Source organism: Homo sapiens, chromosome 1, assembly GCF_000001405.40.
Source record: "Homo sapiens chromosome 1, GRCh38.p14 Primary Assembly".
Lineage (NCBI taxonomy): Eukaryota > Metazoa > Chordata > Mammalia > Primates > Hominidae > Homo > Homo sapiens.
The window spans coordinates 176,501,546-176,521,050 of record NC_000001.11 but is presented as its reverse complement, the minus strand read 5'-3'; the positions used below and the strand labels follow the sequence as shown (position 1 = coordinate 176,521,050).

General features: G+C 37.5%; 1 protein-coding gene across 6 annotated transcripts in view; it reads right to left on the bottom strand.

Annotated features, from left to right (window-relative positions):
• PAPPA2 (pappalysin 2) overlaps positions 1-19,505 on the bottom strand; it is a 382,427-nt gene that overhangs the window by 324,551 nt on the left and 38,371 nt on the right. For 2 of the 6 annotated variants that reach the window (XM_047427180.1, XM_017002024.2), the window contains exon 2: positions 4,622-4,754. The exons of the other annotated variants lie outside the window; for them this stretch is intronic. The gene's annotated coding sequence lies outside the window, so the exon portion shown is untranslated. The remainder of the gene's footprint in view (positions 1-4,621; positions 4,755-19,505) is intronic. 6 annotated transcript variants of the gene reach the window in all.

Below are 19,505 nucleotides of genomic sequence, written 5' to 3'. Positions count from 1 at the left end.
ATCAATCCTCAGAGCATCCCTCTACTTTCAAGCTCTTGCAAAGAGAAAGTCTTACGAGAACCACTAGGTCTATTTCTCTTTTTTATTTTATTTTTTTATTTAGAAAAGGAGTCTTGCTATGTTACCCAGGATGGCCTTAAACCCCTGGGCTCAGGTGATCCTCCTGCTTCAGTCTCCCGAGTAGCTGAGACTACAAGCACACGCTACTGTGCCCAACTCACTTGGCCTATTACATTTGGCAGGTCCTTAAGCCTTAGAAACAATTCCAGGAGAGGCTGGTTGCAAGACCAGTCCACTAAATCAGTCTTTCCCCACCAAGCAGTCTTCTTCTCCCCTAACTCCCTTGCTTTTCAGTCACTCACACTTACTCTGCAACCAGCTCAATTATCACAAAGTTTGCATGTCTTCTTGAAACTTTTATGTCATTAGCTTACCCAAAAAACATGAGTTCACCTTAATCAGAAAGATCTGCACATTCCATCTTTTATAAGTGTTAACTATGAAATGTCTCTGCTACTGATCCAACACTGACACAGAGATGACAGGATCTTCAATGTTGGTGATAGCCATGTATCACTGGAAGTTCCCCAAATCTATTTCTACCTCAATAATTCTGCTCTCTGAAAGTGTGGCTTAACTGTCAGAACCTGGATGACATTAGAAAGACTTCCAGTAAGTCAGGTTTCCAAACCCAACTGAATTGGGGTAGTTCAAGAATTTTCTGGTAGTTCTGAGAAGCTAAGAGGGTGAACATTTTTGACCAGAAACAAATCTCCAGCATGGTACAGTCTCTAACCAGCCTTGTATGTGGATCCAAGACTAGCAGGAGTGAGGAGTGGAGAGGGGAGAAGCAAGAGGCAGAGTTGGACAAGGAGGAAGAATAGAAATGTAACTTTTCTTATTCCCACTTTGTTCCTTGTCTAGAGTAAGACAAAACTGGTAATGCTACAAAGGGATGACCTTCTTCTTGTCCCCTCTCTGTGCAGCCAAAATTCTGACCTGAGCCAACTTCTAAGACTTTGCCCCAAGGACTGTCCCTGATTAAACAAATTGAGCCAAAGATAAGGTACAGCTTTTCCCAGTCCAAGCTTCTCAGTGCTAACTTCTCTGCTCCTTGCTCACCTTATAGAAGAAACACAGTCAAGTAGAAGAGTACTTGATAACAACCAAAGGAACAATGCCAAGGGTTTCTTTTTACTATAGCTCCCAGCCAACTACCAACTTTCAACTTCACTGTCTGGTTAAGAATATTAAAAAGGAAAAAATGGAAAAAATACTACCAGCAAATGTGGAGGGTTTGTGATAAATCACCATATCTTGGCTTCTATTGATTAGTTGTGATTAATTATGTGGACAGGTGATAGGCAGTCATGTTGTTTCTACTTCCTGGGGATTACCAGCAGCCAAGTCTTCCAAAAATGAGCAACTCGGGACAATGCATATATAATATTATGTTTTATTAGTTTTTCCTGCCTTCATGGCATGGACGGAGAAATTTCTAGTTTAGATGACCCTGGACCTTCATCTGAAGCAAGAACAGCAAAATAGGCATTTCCCTAATGAGAAAAATGATATACACTGGGAAAAGCATACCTTTGGTATTGCTGTTAGGTCTAAAGGTCATGCTCTCTCCCCTCCCTGCCTCCTTCACTTCCACCAGCCCCACCTCCTCACCTATTCAACTCATTCTCAGACTCTGTAGTCTCCAGGAGTCTCCCGCAGCCCTACAGGGAGGGCCGAGTGTAGCTCTTCTGTGCTCATTTATTCCCTGTGCACACTACTACTACTGCACTTGACCATGGTATTGAAGTTACCTGTTCATGTGACTTGTGAGAAGAGTTGGCTGATAAAGAGCAGGATTATGTCTTACTCTATTTTGCAAAATTAGATTCTAATGTCATGTCTGGCACATGGAAGGTATTGAGGCCATATTGAATTGAACTGCAAGGATATTTACCATACTCTGTGTGACTTTTACCATCTTCCTCATTTTCCTCCATGTTACCAAATAAATTATATTAGTATGTCTTATAGTCATGATTGTAAGTTAAGTACATCTCAGACATTTTAAGTCTGCCTGGTCTCCACTCTCTAGAACGACATATGTGAACATTTACCTCATTCTGATATAGCAGTAGTACTTTTCTACTGTTTTTTTTTAAGTGCCCTTTAAGTTGCTTTTCCAGTAAGAGGTACCTCTTGCAAAGTCATCCACATTCTCTCCTGAATTCCTATTGAGCCTAAGGCAGATTTTTGTGAGATGTATGTCCATTCTGGGAATGCAGTCTCACAGCCTGATGGGACCAAGATATGATTTGTTTTCACCAACACTTTACATGCACACTTCCACACACATGTGGGCTCATGTTCAGGAATATGCTAAATGCAGATGGTTCCTGAGTTTAGCCTTAAAAAACAAAAACAACTTTTCAAAATAAGGACCCTTGATTGGATTTCAAATGCATAGTATTATTTTTAACTGCACTTAAAGGCATTATTTTCTGTTTAGCTTCCTTTCAAACCCACCAAGTCAAACTTAAAGGCCTGAAAGTTTCAGGGTGTCTTCTGGTAAGTTTGTTTGTTTTTTTTTTTTTTTTTACCTGTCAAGCTTTCCACAATTACAGGTAACTCCATAAAGGCACTGAAGTCCTTCTGGACATTCCAGTTTATCAGAATGGACTTTATCAACTCTTCGCATTTGGGTTGAACTATTCTGGCTTGGGACGTGGATGCTTTCATGATTACATAAGGTCTACACAGCATGAGGTATTCCTAATTTCCTCAAATGTATTCTTATTTAAAGTTAGGAGGGTGGCAAGAAGTCCTAGAAAGTTCTCCAGATTGTGAGTCAGAGACCTGTGGGAGGCCTCAAAGGCTTTATAGAAAGAAGTAGTACATGAACAGACGAATAGGTAAGTAGGTAGGTAGATATGTAGGTAAGCAGATAAATAGAATTTCCCTACCAATCCTCCCACCTTGGCCTGTTTCAAGCTCTCTAAAATGAAGGGGGTTAGACAGTTGGTCACTAAGTTCTATTCGAGCCCTTTGAGTCTAGTAATCCATGACTGGCCTTTCCTTCTCATTAACTTTCTGGTTCTTCCTGAGGTCCTCTTCCATGGATATTTTCAAGGCAACTCTAGAACTACTGAAACCTGCTTTCAAAAATTTCCTTTCTTTATTGCCCTGGAATTCTGAGCTCTTCTCATTTTATGGTTTCCTTCTGCCATGTCGAAGGTGGCCAGTCACCCTTCGACCTTTAAATGCTGTCTTCATGTGAGGAGTACCAATGAAAGGCGCCTGACTGCCTTGTTTCCGGTGGTGAGTGATTCCAAAGTGAGGTGAAAAGTCAATGCAACTTTCTTAAATGCCTGACTCACTGACCTACAGAAAAGCTGAGCCTCTATCTTGCCCTGCCTCACAGTCACCTGTTTTTAATTGCATCAGTCCCCATATTAGCCACAGGCTTTGGTTTCACAGCCTGGGATGACTCACTGCCTTCCCTAAACACCTCCTGCCTGAGAAGAGCTGTCATGGGTATCTCCTCACATTGATAGTTTCCTTTTTAATATTTATAAACACCAAAGTATTTTTCTCTCCCCCACTTGAAATGTATATATTCATTTATTAAAAGACATTGACGTTGCTGAGGTAATGGCCTGTCGACAGATTTACAGCAGGAACTATCTCACTGCCTGCAGGCCTGTGCATTTTAATATAATTAAAAGGCTTCTGTTTGGAATCTTAGCTAATTAATATTCATGCTTTCCTCCTTCCACCTGCCATTCCCGATTTGCTGTCTTTTAGCAGATTGATCAAGACCCAATTAATCCCACCAGTCAAAGCAAGGCAGGCAGGAAAAGAAAGGGGGAAATACCATTGCAGTGCTGGCTTTTTAATGAAAAAGCTCATTTTACTAACGGAAATTTTTTCCTGGTTTTTGCGGAAGGTCAAGGAAGAGTCTCTATAAATATGGTAGGAATAGAACAGATAGGAATTGTAGGTTAAATTGGTCACATTGAAATTTTACTAATTTTTAAGAGTTTTCCTAAGTTTCATTCATGCTGGAAATCACAGAACAGAAACTTGGAGAACCAGATAACAGACATTTTTAAGAGAAATAAAGCTGAAAATGGCAGTGACCATAGCTGAGAAAAACTATCCACACAAATGAATGTGATTCACCTACATAGGATCTTTGAGAACCAATCAGATTTCCAGAGATAGACACATGGCCACTGTCTTAGTGCATTCCCACTGGTCCAACAAATTACTACAGACTGGATAATTTGAAAACAACAGAAACTTATTTCTCGTAGTTCTGGACTTTCTTATAGTTTTGGTGTATGGTAAGGGCTTGCTCTTTGCTTCCAAGATGGTGCCTTGTTGATGTGGTCCCCAAGAAGGAAAAAACACTATGTCCTCATATGGCAGAAGGGATGGAAGAACAGAATTCGTTCCCTCAAGCTCTTTTATAAGGGCACTGATATCATTCATAAGGGCAGAGCACTTATAACCCAATCACCTCCTAAAGGCCCCACCTTTGAATAGTATTGCATTGGGAGTTAAGTTTCAACATGGATTTTGGAGGGGCACAAACATTCAAATCTTAGCAGTCACTTACCTTTCTTTGCTTCTAAATGGAAACTGTTTTGCCTTAAAAAGGAAATATTAAGGCAGGGGATGGGGGAGTGGGGAGGATGGTAAATGATGAGAATGAGGTATTCAAATTAAACTTTCTTCAGGTATATGAAGGCCTGTCACAAAAAAAAAAAAAAAGAATTAAACTCTCTTCATTTGACTCCGAGGACAGAAAAGGGAATCTTAGCAGCATTTGTGGTGAGACACTCAACAACCATGGACTTGAGCTTGGGGGAGATCTGAATTAAAAGAAGGAGGAAATGGTTTGGGGGCTCTACTTCCCCTACACAGTTGCTCTTCCCAATTGTGGGTGTCTTGAGAACATGTTGTCCTGTGATGAGAACAAGAGCCACTAGAGAAAGTCACCAAGCAAACTATCTCACATTTAGGCTAGTTGACTTTGGCCAAGTTTACTCCACCACTTTTAGTCTCATCCATAAAATGGGCTAGTAATACCTCCTTCCGAGAACTGTTGTGGGGACTAAATGAGAGTCTTCAAGTGCCTAGTGCAAGACTCAGTAAATATCAATTCCACTTATTTATCCCAGCAAGAGGGAAATGTCTTCCACACCAAGGAATGGAGTGCATAAGTGACAGCTACTTCATGGCATAGTGAACATTTCTCTAGAAAGAAGAAAGGAAGATGGAGTGGTAAGGAACTCACTCTCTTTTGGCTGGAAAATGCACAAGTGAAAAAAAAAGCCAAAATGAAGCTTACTGCATCTCAAAGCCAGCCTCGCCCAGTGCAGTGGGTATTAACAATGGAGCAAAGAGGGGTCACAGGGACAAGATAAAAATAAACAGAAAGCACCGGATTGATGCAACAGGTACATGTAGTTTGTCTTGTTGATGAGTCACTGGTCTGAGAAATCTGTTTAGGTTTGGCAGGAAGCCCGTGAACAGGCTGCAGCTTAATTGTCCTTCCACTGTGGTTGCTCCCATTGTGAGCTTCAGGCTCTTTATTTTTAAAAAGTCTGGGTGATCACAATCCTCCTGGATGAGATCATATGGGGACTGTATTGCTGACCCATCCAACCAGAATGCCCTTTTACAGTTCCTGGCTATCAAACTCCCACTCATCCTCCAGTGCAGTTCAAGTGTCTCTCTTTATGGGAAGCCATTCCCGTTAGCCTGGTCAGAAATAATGACTCTTTATTTTGTGTCCTGCTCTATTAACATTTGCAAGTCCCTCTCCACCAGTGATAATGATGATATTTGCTAACAGTTATTGAAGACTTTCCAAGTGCCAAATATTGCACTCAGTGTTTTATTGGCACTCTCATTACTCTTAGGAGGTATATATTTTAATTCTCCCAGTTTTACTGATGTTAAAACTAGTCTAGTGAATATTGTGAATATCTTGCCCATTAATATACAACTAACAAAGCAAGATTAGCAGCAAGGTATTTGGACTCCAGAGGCCAACGTATTCACTGTGATCTCTTCCTCAATGCTTAATATACACTAGGAGCTCGATAGAGATGTAAACACTGAATAAGAATAATCTTGATGGAATGGAGGAAAATGCCTGAACAGCAAGGCCAGTCTGGAATGGGCAAACTCTACCAGAGATATGCACAAGCCGGAGAGGCTTTCTGTAATCCATGGGCTTTGTCATCGCATTTCTGCTGAGCCTCCTTTTAGTCCTAGGCATGCCTAAAATTTGATTCAAAGTCAAAATTTCCTTGAAACAGATTCATCCCATGAAGAATGCTATGGATAAATAAGTCTACACCTCGTTTTTTAAGTCGTATAATTTGTCAAAATGTTATTGTCAGTGATGAGCCTAGGCTGCAGTGAAACAAGGGTTGAGTCAAAATGATTGAAAGCCCAAGAGATTGCTCCACTGAGGTTTTGACTTAAGTCAAATCCATGTGGTGAAGGGAAAGACTGCAGAGGCAGACGTGGGTTAAGGTCCGGGGGATCCAGGAGTGATGTGGTTTGGATGTGTGTCCCTTCCAAATCCACGTTGAAATTTGATCCCCAGTGTTGGAGGTGGAGCCTGGTGGGAGGTGCTTGGGTCATGGGGCAGATCCCTTATGAATGGCTTGGTGCCCTCCCCATGGTAACTAGTGGGTTCCCTCTCTGTTAGTTCCCATGGGAGCTGTTTAAAGGAGCTGTTGTTTAAAGGAGTCTGACACCGCCTCCTCTCTCTTGCTCCCTCTCTCACTATATGATGTGCCAGCTCCCCATTTACCTTCCACCATGATTGTAAGCATCCTGAGGCCTCACCAGAAGTAGATGCTGGCACTATGCTTCTTGTACCTTCTGCAGAACTGTGAGCCAATTAAACATTTTTTCTTTATAAATTACCCAGTCTCAGATATTCTTTTACAGCAATGCAAAACAGACAAACACAGGGAGTATCTTGTTGTCTCTCTGAAATAGTCATCCATAAAATTGTGGTAATAAGCCTCCATCCCTCATTCATGTTGAGATGGCATGTATGAGAGCCCTTTGTGGTGCATGTGGATGGATGATGCTCTTTGAAGAAAGTGGTTACAGTCATGACTCCTCGGACAGCATGCTCGCTTCAGCTGTCTGCCTTTAACTGAGTCCTAGACAGATACCTAAAATGCATTTTCTTCCCCCTCTTGAGCTTCCACCAAGATTCAAACTGCTATCTAACAGAGGATGTAGTATATAAATGAGAAGAGAATAATTATGAGGCTTCTAGAGTCTTTCAGGGAATAATTGTAAGAAACAGAAGAGATCATAGAATTCAACTCTCTCATTTTACAAATAAGGAAATTGAGACCAGAATCAGAAAAATTTGTGGAATGAGAGATTGGCCAACTGGACCAAGATAACACAACTGGTTCACAGAAGAACTAGGATGGGAACTCAGATCTTCCAACTTCTATTCATATCGTGCTGTGCTTTCTCTTCTCAGAAATGAAATTTCTATTTCCATTTTGATAAATGCCTCAAGTGAGAAGCAGGGAGGGAAGATCAGAGGAAGGCAAAAGAGAAGGAGAGGTAGACTCTTCTCTTTGAAACAATTTAAGAAAGAAATAGGAAAAAGCTTTGTGCTTGTGTTGAAAAAAGAAAAATGAAAGAAAAAATAAAGAAAAAATTATTAACAATTTAGAAAAATATAAGCAAGTAACAAGTTTATCCAAAAAGCTATGGAATATGAGTGAGAAAAACAAGTGAAGGAACATCTGTATTAGTTAGGGTTCTCCAGAGAAACTGAATCAGTAGAAGATATAGATGGTGATGATGATGATGATGATGATGATGATGATGATGATAGACAGAAATGTATAATAAAGAATGGCTTACACAATTATGGAGGCTAAGTTAAGTCCAGGCCCAGGAGAGCTGATTTTGCAGTTCCAGTTCAAGTCTGAAGGCCTTGGAAGCAAGAGAGCTGATGGTATAAGTTCTGGTCCTTCATGTAATCCTTCACAGTTTGCAGAAGGATCAGGCTATCCCTAACTTTTGAAACTGTTGTAGAAATTCATCAGCTTCCTGCAAAATACCTGGTGAGAATGGCACTCAGTCTGATACCCAGAAGCATTGTGTTATGACCTGTTGTTGCACCTCTTACATTGCTTTTTTTAATTTGTAAACACAGGCTGAAATGTAAAGGGCTCAAAATGTTTTATTAATGTTTTTAAAAATATTTTAATCAATTTTATTGAACAATGATTTTCATAAACTAAAATGCCCATTTGAAGTACATAATTCAATAAGTTTTGACATATATATATGCACACATCAGTGTAATCAATACATTAATAAAAATGTAGACTATTTTCATCACCCTAAAAAGCTTTCTCATGTTCCTTTGTAGTCATTCTCTTCACCCCTTGTTTCAGACGGCCAATGATCTGCTTTATGTTGTTATAAATTAGATGTATCTGTTCTTGAAATTCTTATAAATGAAATGCTACAGTATGCACTCTTTTGTATCTAGTTTCTTTTACTTGGCTAGCTTCTTTTACTTGGCATAATGCTTTTGAAATTCCTTAAAGCTGTTGCATATGTTAGTAGTAGTTCATTTCTTTTATTGCAAAGTGGTGTTCCATTTCATGGATATATCATAATTTGCCACTTAATGAAACTGCCAAACTTTTTTCCAAACTGGTGTACCATTTCACATTCCCACCAACAGTGTATGAAAGTTCCAGTTGCTCCACATTTTTGCCAACACTTAATGTGGTCTTTTTTTTTTTTTTTTTTTTTGCAAATTTAGTCTTAGTAAAGATGTAGCAGAATCTCATTGTGGTTTTAATTGCTTTTCCCGATGAATAATTTTATTGAACATATTTGTACATGCTTATTGGCCACTTATGTCTTCTGAAAAATGATATGAAATATTTTGCCATTTTGGGGAGGTCCTTTTTATTCTTTTTATCAAGTTTTAAGTGTTCCTTATATATTCTAGTTGCAAGTACTTTGTCTGACCTAGGTATTCTGAGTATTTTAATCTATGGATTTAATTTTAATGTTTTAATAGCACCTTTTAAAGGAAAAAAACTGATATTTATAAAGTCCAATCATCACCTACCAAGTAGGAGAGAACCCAATAGTGTAAGTTTCAGTCTGAGTTCAAAGACCAGAGAACTGGAAGGCTGATGGTATAAATCCCAGTTCAAGTTTGAAGGTCTGAGAACCAGGAGTGCCAATGTCAGAAGCCCGGAAAAATTGGATATGCCAAGCTAAAGCAGAGAGAGCAAATTCACTTCCTCTGCCTTTTTGTTTTATTCAGGCCCTCAACAGATTGGATGATGCCTACTCACATTGGTCAGGGTCATCTTTACCCCGTCTACTGATGCAAATGCTAATCTCTTTTAGAAACATCTTCACAGATGTTTCACAGAAATTTTGTTTCACCAGTTATCTAGGTACCGTTTGCCTAGTTAAACTGACACATAAAATTATCACAACCAGTTAAGACAACGAGTGTCGAACAGAAGTTATAAAAACAAACATCCTTGACTTGTTCACAGTCCTAAATGGAAAGTATTCAATTGTTCCCCATTAAGTATGATATTCACTGTAAGTTTTTGCAGATTCCCTGTAAATCAGAAGTACACCAAACTGGACTTGTATTCCTAATTTGTTGAGAGTTTTAATCATGAATGAGGGCTATATTTTTTACAAATGCTTTTTCTGTATCATAATCCCTGGCAATATACCTTGTTCTGAAAAGTCCTTTTTTCTGATATTAATATATGAATTACAGCTTTCATTTGATTAGTGTTTGAATGGTATATTTTTTCCATCCTTTTATTTTGAACCTATCTGTGACTTTGTATTTACTGTACACATTTTATAGACAACACAAAACTATAACAGGAATGATTATTTCTTTTTTTTAATCCATTCTAATAATGTTGGCCCTTTAATTGAAGTGTTTAGAAAGTATACACTTATTATGATTATTGATATGGCTATGTTTGAATTAACTATCTTAATAGTTGTTTTCAATTTGCCCCATTAATTCTTTTTTTGTTCCTTTTTTCTGCCTTCTTTGGATTAAATTAAATGTTTTTATAATTGGGTTTTATCTCTGGCTTATTAGCTCTCCCTCTGTTTTTTCATTTTTGGGGTATGTGTGTGTGTGTGTGTGTGTGTGTGTGTGTGTGTGTGTATGTGTTGCTTTAAATTTTAAAATATACATTTTAGCTTATCTCAGTCTACCTTCAGTGCTATTATATTACTTACAGTGATATTCTTCCATTTTCTCCTTCCCATTCTTTGTACTATTATATATTTTTATCTGTATGTATTATAAACTATAAAACGACTGCCGTTTTTGCTTCAGTTATCTTTTGAAAAAAATCTTAAGTAAAATTTTTTATTTATTCATATATTTACAATTTGTAGGGTTCTTTATGTCTGTATGTAGCTCTAATTTCTTCCTCAAGAATGTCTTATAACATTTCTTGTAGTTCAGATCTCATAAATACAAGTTCTTTCAACTTTTCTTTGAAAAGCCATTATTTAAACTCCACTTTTAAAAGAAATGTTCATTTGATATGGCATTCTAGTTTAACAGAAGGTTTTTGTTAATTTAATTTTCTTGTTCTGTTCTGTTTGCTTTAGTTTCAGTACTTTAAAGATGGTGTTACATTGTCTTCTGGTTTAAATAGGCTCAGGTGAGAAAACGATGATAATTCTTATCTTTGTTGCTCTGTTCATAACATGTTCCCCACCCCTATCTGCTTTTTAAAATTTTCTTTATACTATCAGTTTTTACAAATTTTGTTATGATGTGTCTTAGTATATTTGTCTTTGTGTTTAGCCTGCTTGAAATGCCTTGTACTTCTCAAATATGTGAGCTTATAGTTTTCATCAAATTTGAAAAATTTCAGCCATATTTCTTTTTCTTATTTTTTGTTTTTGGGGTTTATTTGTCGTTGTTTTTGAGACAGGTTCTCACTCTGTCACCCAGGCTGGAGTGCAGTGGCATGATCACAACTCATGGCAGTCTCAACCTCCCTGGCTCAGGCGATCTTCCTGCCTCAGCCTCCCAAGTAGCTGGGACTACAGGCACACGTCACCATGCCCAGCTAATGTGTTTTTTTTGTTGTTTTTTTTTGTTTGTTTGTTTTGTTTTTTGTAGAAACGGGGTTTTGCCATATTGCCCAGGCTGTTCTCAAATTTCCAGGCTCAAGCAATCTGCCAGCCTCGGTCTCCCAAAGTGCTGGGATTATAGGTGTGATTCACCATGCCCAGCAAAGTCATATTCCTGCATATATTTTTCTGTCCCCCTCCATTCTTCTGAAACTCTAATTAAATATACATTACATATTCTCTAATTTCATCCTCACATGTTGGGGGAGCGACCTCGTGGGAAATGATTGAATCATGGGGGTGGATTTCTCCCTTGCTGTTCTCATGATAGTGAGTGAGTTCTTATGAGATCATTTTGTTTAAAAGTGTAACACTGTCCCCCTTCACCCTCTCCCTCCTGCTGCCATGGAATATGTGCCTTGCTTCGCCATCATCTTCTGCCATGATCATAAGTGTCCTGAGGCTTCCTCAGCCATGTGGAGCTGTGAATCAATTAGACCTTTTTTTTAAAAAATAAATTACTCAGTCTCAGGTAGTTCTTTATAGCAGTGTGAAAACGGACTAATACAATGGCTTTTGGAAAAATTTCAAGCAGTCTGACATATATATATGTTAGATGATATGGTGTGGCTCTGTGTTCCCACCCAAGTCTCATATCAAATTGTCATCCTCACATGTTGGGGGAGTGACCTCGTGGGAAATGATTGAATCATGGGGGTGGATTTCTCCCTTGCTGTTCTCATGATAGTGAGCCACTTCTCATCTGACCTCTGATTAAATAGTGCATCACATATTCTCTACTTATATATTAGATATAATAAACTCTAATTATACATATTATATTTCATCTAACATATATATATGTCAGACTGCTTGAAATTTTTCCAAAAGCCATTGTATTAGTCCGTTTTCACACTGCTATAAAGAACTACCTGAGACTGAGTAATTTATTTTTAAAAAAAAGGTCTAATTGATTCACAGTTCCACATGGCTGAGGAAGCCTCAGGACACTTATGATCATGGCAGAAGATGATGGGGAAGCAAGGCACATATTCCATGGCAGCAGGAGGGAGAGGGTGAAGGGGGACAGTGTTACACTTTTAAACAAAATGATCTCATAAGAACTCACTCACTATCATGAGAACAGCAAGGGAGAAATCCACCCCCATGATTCAATCATTTCCCACGAGGTCACTCCCCCAACATGTGAGGATGACAATTTGATATGAGACTTGGGTGGGAACACAGAGCCACACCATATCATTGTCATTGAGACTCTATTCATTATTTTTTTTTTTACTTTTTTTCCTATATATACTTCATTTTGGATAGTTTTCATTTATGTTTTCAAGTTCCCCATTTTTTCTTCTACATTGTCTAATTGGCTATTAATTCCATGCAGTGATTTTTCATTCAAGATATTTTATTTTTCAGAATTAGAATTTATGATTTATGTTTTTCTCTATATGTCATTTTTATCCTCAGTGTTCATATTTTTCTTTAAATAATTATGCATATTTACAATAGCTGTTTTTAAATTGTTGTTTGCTAATTCTTTCACCTCTGTCATTTTGAGTATGTTTCTACCGACTGATTTATTTTACTGGATATGGAATCATATTTTCCTGTTTTCACATGATTAGTAATTTTACGGAATGCCACATTTGGTTAATTTTATGTTTTGAATGATGGATTTCGTAGTCTTTCTTTAAAGAGTGCTACACTTTGTTCTGGTAAACAATTACATTACTGGAAGATCAGCTTGATCTTTTTGAAGATTGTTTTTAAGCTTTATAAAGTCTGTTGAGTAGCCTTTACTATAAGGATAGTTTAGCCCCACTATGAAGGCATGACTTCTCTGAGGTCTTGACCAAATGCCCCAAGGTTTTTAGGGGTTTTTAGTTTGTTTTTCTTCCGATTTTTACTTTTTTATTCTGGTAGCTTTTCTGCTTTTTATATAATTTTTTTTAAATTTCAACTTTTACTTTAGATATGTTGGTACATGTGCAGGTTTGTTACATGGGTATATTGCACTCAGGTTGTGAGCATAGTACCCAACAGGTACTTTTTCATCCCATGCCTCCCTCCCTCCCCTCCCTCCTCTAGTAGTCCACAATGTCTACTGTATCCCTGCTTATGTTCATTGGGCTCAATGTTTAGCTTCCACTTATAAGTGAGAACCTATGGTATTTAGCTTTCTATTCCTGCATTAATTTGTTTAGGATTATGGTCTCCAGCTCCATCCATGTTGCTGCAAAAGACACGATTTCATTCTTTCTTATGGCTGTGTAGTATTCCATGATGTATATGTACTAGATTTTCTTCCATTCCATCATTGATGGGCATTAAGCTTGATTCCATGTCTTTGCTATTGTGAATAACACAGTGATGAACATACAAGTGCAGGTGTCTTTTTGGTATAATGATCTATTTTCCTTTAGGTATATACCCAGTAATGAGATTGTTGGGTCAAATGGTAGTTCTGTTTTATGTTCTTTAAGAAATCTCCAAACTGCTTTCCACAGTGGCTGAATTAATTTACATTCCCACCAAGGTGTAGAAGAGTTCCCTTTTGTCCACAGCCCTACTAGCATCTGTTACTTTTTTACTTTTTAGTAACAGTCATTCTGACTGCTGTGAGATGGTATCTCATTGTTGTTTTGATTTGTATTTCTCTAATGATTAGTGACATGAAGCATTTTTTATGTATTTGTTGACCACTTGTATGTCTTCTTTGGAGCAGTGTCTGTTCATGTCTTTTGCCCTTTTTTTAATGGGGTTATTTATTTTTGCTTGTTGATTTGTTTAAATTCCCTATAGATTCTGGATATTAAACCTTTGTTGGATGCATAGTTTGCAAATACTTTCTCTCGTTCTGTAGGTTGTCTGTTTATTCTATTGATAGTTTCTTTTGCTGTGCAGAAGCTCTTTAGTTTAATTAGGTCTCACTTGTCAATTTTTGGTTGCAATTGCCTTTAGGGACTTAGCCAAAAATTTCTCGCCAAGACCAATGTCAAGAGGGGCATTTTGTAGCTTTTCTTCTAGGATTTTTATAGTTTGAGGTCTTACAAAGCCAAACTATCTTTCTTCACTGATGATACGATTCTCTATTTAGAAAACCCTAAAGACTACACAAAAAGGCTGCTAGCCCTGATGAATGATTTTAGCAAGATTTCAGGATACAAAATCAATGCACATAAATTAGTAGCATTTCTATACACCAATAGTGATTAGGCTGAGAGTCAAATCAAGCACACAATCCCATTTACATAGCCACAAAGAAAATAAAATACCTAGGAATATGGCTAACAAAGGAAATGAAAGATCTCTACAAGGAAAACTACAAAACACTGCTGAAAGAAATCAGAGATGACACAAATAAATAGAAAAATATTCCAAGCTCCTGGATTGGAAGAAACAATATCATTAAAATGGCCATACTGCCCATAGCAATTTACGGATTTAGTGCTATTTTTGTCAAACTAGCAATGTCATTCTTCACATAATTAGAAAAAAACTATTCTAAAATTCATATGGAAGAAAAAAAAAAGCCTGAATAGCCAAAGCAATACTAAGCAAAAAGAACAGAGCCAGAAGCATCACACTAGCTGACTTCAAACTATTCTATAAGGCAATAATAACCAAAACAGCATGGTATTGGTACAAAAACAGACACACAGACCAATGGAACAGAACAGAAAATTCAGAAATGAAGCTGTACACTTATAACCATCTGACTGATTTTTGACAAGGCTGACAAAAACAAGCAATGGAGAAGGGACTCCTTATTCAATAAATGGTGCTGGGATAACTGGCTAGCCACACACAGAAGAATGAAATTGGGTGCTTATCTTTCACTATATACACAAATTAATCCAAGATGCCCCAAGTTCTTAACAAGAATTCTCCAGTCTAACTGCTTAAAATCTGAGTATCTTCCAGCCTTTTGTGAGCTCTGGGAACCCTTCAGTTTATCATTTTTTTACTGGTCTTGTAAGATTTATTCCTTTGCATGCATGTTCAAGTATTCAACAACAGACTCAAGAGAATCCCTGTGATATTTTTGAACCTCATTTCCTGTGCAACTCCCTCCTCTCCAATACTCTATCTTGATAACTGAAGTCACCTTGGTGTTTTGTTTTTGTTTTTTTGGTTTTTTTTGAGACAGAGTCTCACTCTGTCCCTGTAAAAAGGCTATTCAGGCTTTTTGTTGTTGTTGTTGCTGTTCCATATGAATTTTAGAATAGTTTTTTCTAATTGTGTAACCTCCAATCTAATTTTTTCTAATTGTGTGAACTCCAGTCTCTATCTCTGCAACTCAGCAATTCTGCCCTACTTGGCTTGAGAATCCTTCTTTGAACCAGAAGTGGAAAGTGTCTCCAGGCAAAAGTTGGTCAATCTATGGCTCACTTCACGTGTTTCTCTACTTTCAAGAATCACAGTCCTGTGCTGCCTGTTTTCCAAACTCCAAAAAACAGTTGTCTCATGTACTTTGTTCAGTTGTTTTAGTCGTTTATAATGGGAGGGGAAATCTGGACCCAATAACCCCATGATTACCAGAAGAAGACATTGACCCCAAATGTGCTTTTGTTTGCTTTTAAAGCACAAATGCATTGATTACTTTGATCTGAGGACAAAATAGCCTTGGAAGGGTTGAAAGAATTGATTAAATAGAATGAAAATGCTACAGATGTCAATGAGTATTGGGTTATGTTATTTATTAACGGGTTTTTTGTCATTTTATTTAATGAACTTGGGAGGAAGGAATTAGGAAAGACAAGGCCACTAGAAAGCCATTTCACAACAGGAAAAACTGTTTTATTAAGGATTTTCACACTGTTTTACTGTTCCTTAGGTAACTCCCTGTATTAGGTAGGATGGGCTAGATCATTCTGTGGTTATAAGTAACCTTCCAATAGCAGTTACTTAAGATAACTACGTTTTATTCTCACTTATGCTGCCCACCCATTATGGGTAGATTATAGCTCTGTTCCGTATTATCTTCATTTCATCATCCATCTGAAGGAGTAGTACCCATCTGAGACATAAACAGTTCTATGGTAGAGGAAAAGAGATATGGAAAACCATGAGATGGCCCTTGCAACTTTTGCCTTGAAAGTGACACATTGCATTGGTCTAAGCAGGTCACATGGCTATCCATTGCTTTAATAAGCCAAGAATATAAAGTCTTTCCAAAGAGAGGGGAAATGTAAGAAAACAGTATTTTGTGAATATTAACAGCAACTGATCTTCTGTCTTGGATTAGCTCCTACAGAAAAAACTAGACAGCATCAGGGAACGCAGCTAAGCATTTGAATGTGGACTCCATCCTGAACACAGTCTGTGCTTAAATGACTACCACAGCCATTAGCAAGACGAAAAAGTGATCTATATCTACTGATATGTGGATACCATGAAAATATAGTTAAGTGAACAAAAGGAAGATAACATAATAGTGTATATAACATACTTTCATTTGTGTAAAGAACAGAATATATTTATATATCTGCATGTATAGCATAGAAATATTCTAAAAGAATGCACAGAAAATTGATGCCTCTGAAATAATATGCAGGAAAATGTTTCTCTGAAACAGAATATAGGAGTCTAAATTCAGAGAAATATTCATATTATACACTCTTTTGTACTGTTTAAATTTTTTCAAGGCTATTTATTTTTTTCCTGATGACTTTTCAAAAATTGCTGCTTAGTGTACACAGAAGAGTTTGATATTGGCCAGTCAATTCCCCCAGCAGTGTCACAGTATGTCATAGAGGGTAAAGATATGGAACCATACCACAGAATGACCATAACCAAGATGAACTTAAGGAAGTTCTTCATAGTTTCCAGAGATTAACCTAATGAAAAAATGTACATGAAATAAAACTTTCAAGTGACTTCCTTATGTCCTGACATTGATGCTGAGTTTTTTCATCCCACTTCTGTAGAGATGTTTATTTCATGATACACTTGTAGAAGAAATAAAACAGAGCTTAATGCTTATTTGTACTACTTGTTTCCTGCTATGTTCTTCTCCCACAAAAATTGCCACTGATGAACTATTCCTAATCTGAGGAGGCATTCTGCAACATCTGCCTTCTGAGCATGGAACTTGACTTTCCAGAATGGCAAGAGCCAATCCTCTGCCTAATCCTTACAAAGAACAGACACTGCTTTCTCCAGAATTCACTTCACAATATTGGAGCTATGGCACAAGAACAAGGTCAATGTCACACTGGAATAATGAACATATTAACTAAGAAGTTCTGAGTTTTATAGTGAGAATCAGGAAATTTCACACCTACCTCTATGGCTATGTTTTAAATTTTTTTATGATTCTAATTAACCATCTCTTAAAATTTTTCTGTGTTAATGTGGGAGAAAGAAGAATGGCCACCCAAAGATGTCTACTTCCTAATCACTGGAATCTGTAAATATGTTGTGTTACATGGCAAATTATGGAAAGAAATTATGTTACATGAGAATTAAGATTGTAAATGGGATTAAGATTACTGATCAGCTGATCTTAAAATAGGGAAGCTATCCTGTATTATCCAGGTGAGTTCACTGTAATCAAAGGGTTCTCTAAAGTGGAAGTGAGTGGCAGAAGATGCCTCATCTTCATCACTGTCAGAGTGATGAAATATAAGAAAGATTCAGCCAGTCACCATGGGCTTTGATGATGGATGAGGTTCACAAGCCAAGGGATGTCAACAGTGTCTGGATGGTGGAGTAGGCAAAAAATTGATTCTCTCCTAGAGTCTCCAGAAGGAACATAGCCCTCTGACACCTTTATTTTGACCCAGTGTAAAAGTGAGACCTACCCCAAACTTCTAACCTGCAGAATTACAAGGTAATATATTTGTGTCATTTTAAACCACGAAATTTGCAGCAATTTATTTCAGCAGCAATAGTCAAGTAATACAATGTTTATTCCCCAGTGTTTAACTATACAGATTACTGGGTGCATCATACTCAGGACATGAACCGGTTTTATTAACTGGAAGAAAAACCTACGACATGGACTCTACAGGCACCTAATCATGTTGTACCCCTTTTCTTCACACAAATTAAATGTTGGAAGTCCTCTTGATAATCAAGACACACAAGTAACTTGGAAGATCCAATAATAGGTCATGTTTCAATTAGATGTGAAGTAAGTTGTTTGAAAGAAAAACAACTTAGTCTTGCCATGCACACCTTCCATAGCACTTACTTGCCTTTCATATGGAGAGATTGCACTGTTGTCCTAATATCTTGCCCCACCATCTGAAACATACCTAGTGATTGTTGTTTACTTGAAAGTTTGACCAGATGCAGTATCTAGTTGTTCAAGGGTGGAGCAAGACACAGGTAAGGATACTATTAAGAATAATACATACAAGCTTATTTGGTATAACCCAACAAAATAAATCTTTTTCTAAGAAAAGCTGATTAAAAATTGATCATATCAATTGCATTAGCCATTCCCAATGAAGAAAGTTTTAGATAGAATAAGTACATCAGAAATGCTGAGAATACAAGTAACTCAATCCCTATCTTCACAGCTATGTTATAGCTACTTGTACTACACCAAATGACAAACATAGACTTCACTAATATCATTTAAGTTTAAAGATATATGGGCAAAAACCTTGTTTGGGGCATCACCACCTCATTCCAATGCTTTCAAACAAATTGTTTGTTAGATTCTGAAAGGGTGGTGCAGACAGCTATCAAGTCTTGAATCAGATGTCTGGAGGATAGTAAATGACAAAACTTGCAAGATTTGTTCATTGCTTAGTAGGTCATTCCTACATTAAATGAGAAGTGTCAATCCTGCTTATTTCTTAAGAGCTATTCCAGGCTTAATAAAAAACTTACATCAGAAGTTATTCTTTGTGTTAGTCTATGTTCATTGTTTTTTCACTCATGTATTCCATAAGAGATTGTCTTTTCTTAGCAACTATGCCACTGAACCAGGGTGCATTAATTTTATAAATGATATCAGTGTCACTATTGCAAAAGGTTCAGAGGAAGGCTCAAACTGTGGCATCACCACGGTGACTCGCTGTGATGGAAGCACCCCAGGGGCAATGGACCACAGGAAAACCATTAGAAAGCTCTCCTCTGAGACATGTTGTTGTTTTTTACTCAGCCACTTAAGGAATGGTCAAGGCCACAAAGTCAAGGAAGCAATCACTCTTCTCTGACTATTACAAAGAATAAAATGGAGTCTCTGGGCTCTTCTACAACCATTTGCACTGACATAACCTTGAGAAAGGCTTCCCCATTTCTTACTGGAAAATTACTTTAGCAAGAGAGAAAAGGTCTTACAAGTGCCAAGGGGGCAGTAGTAC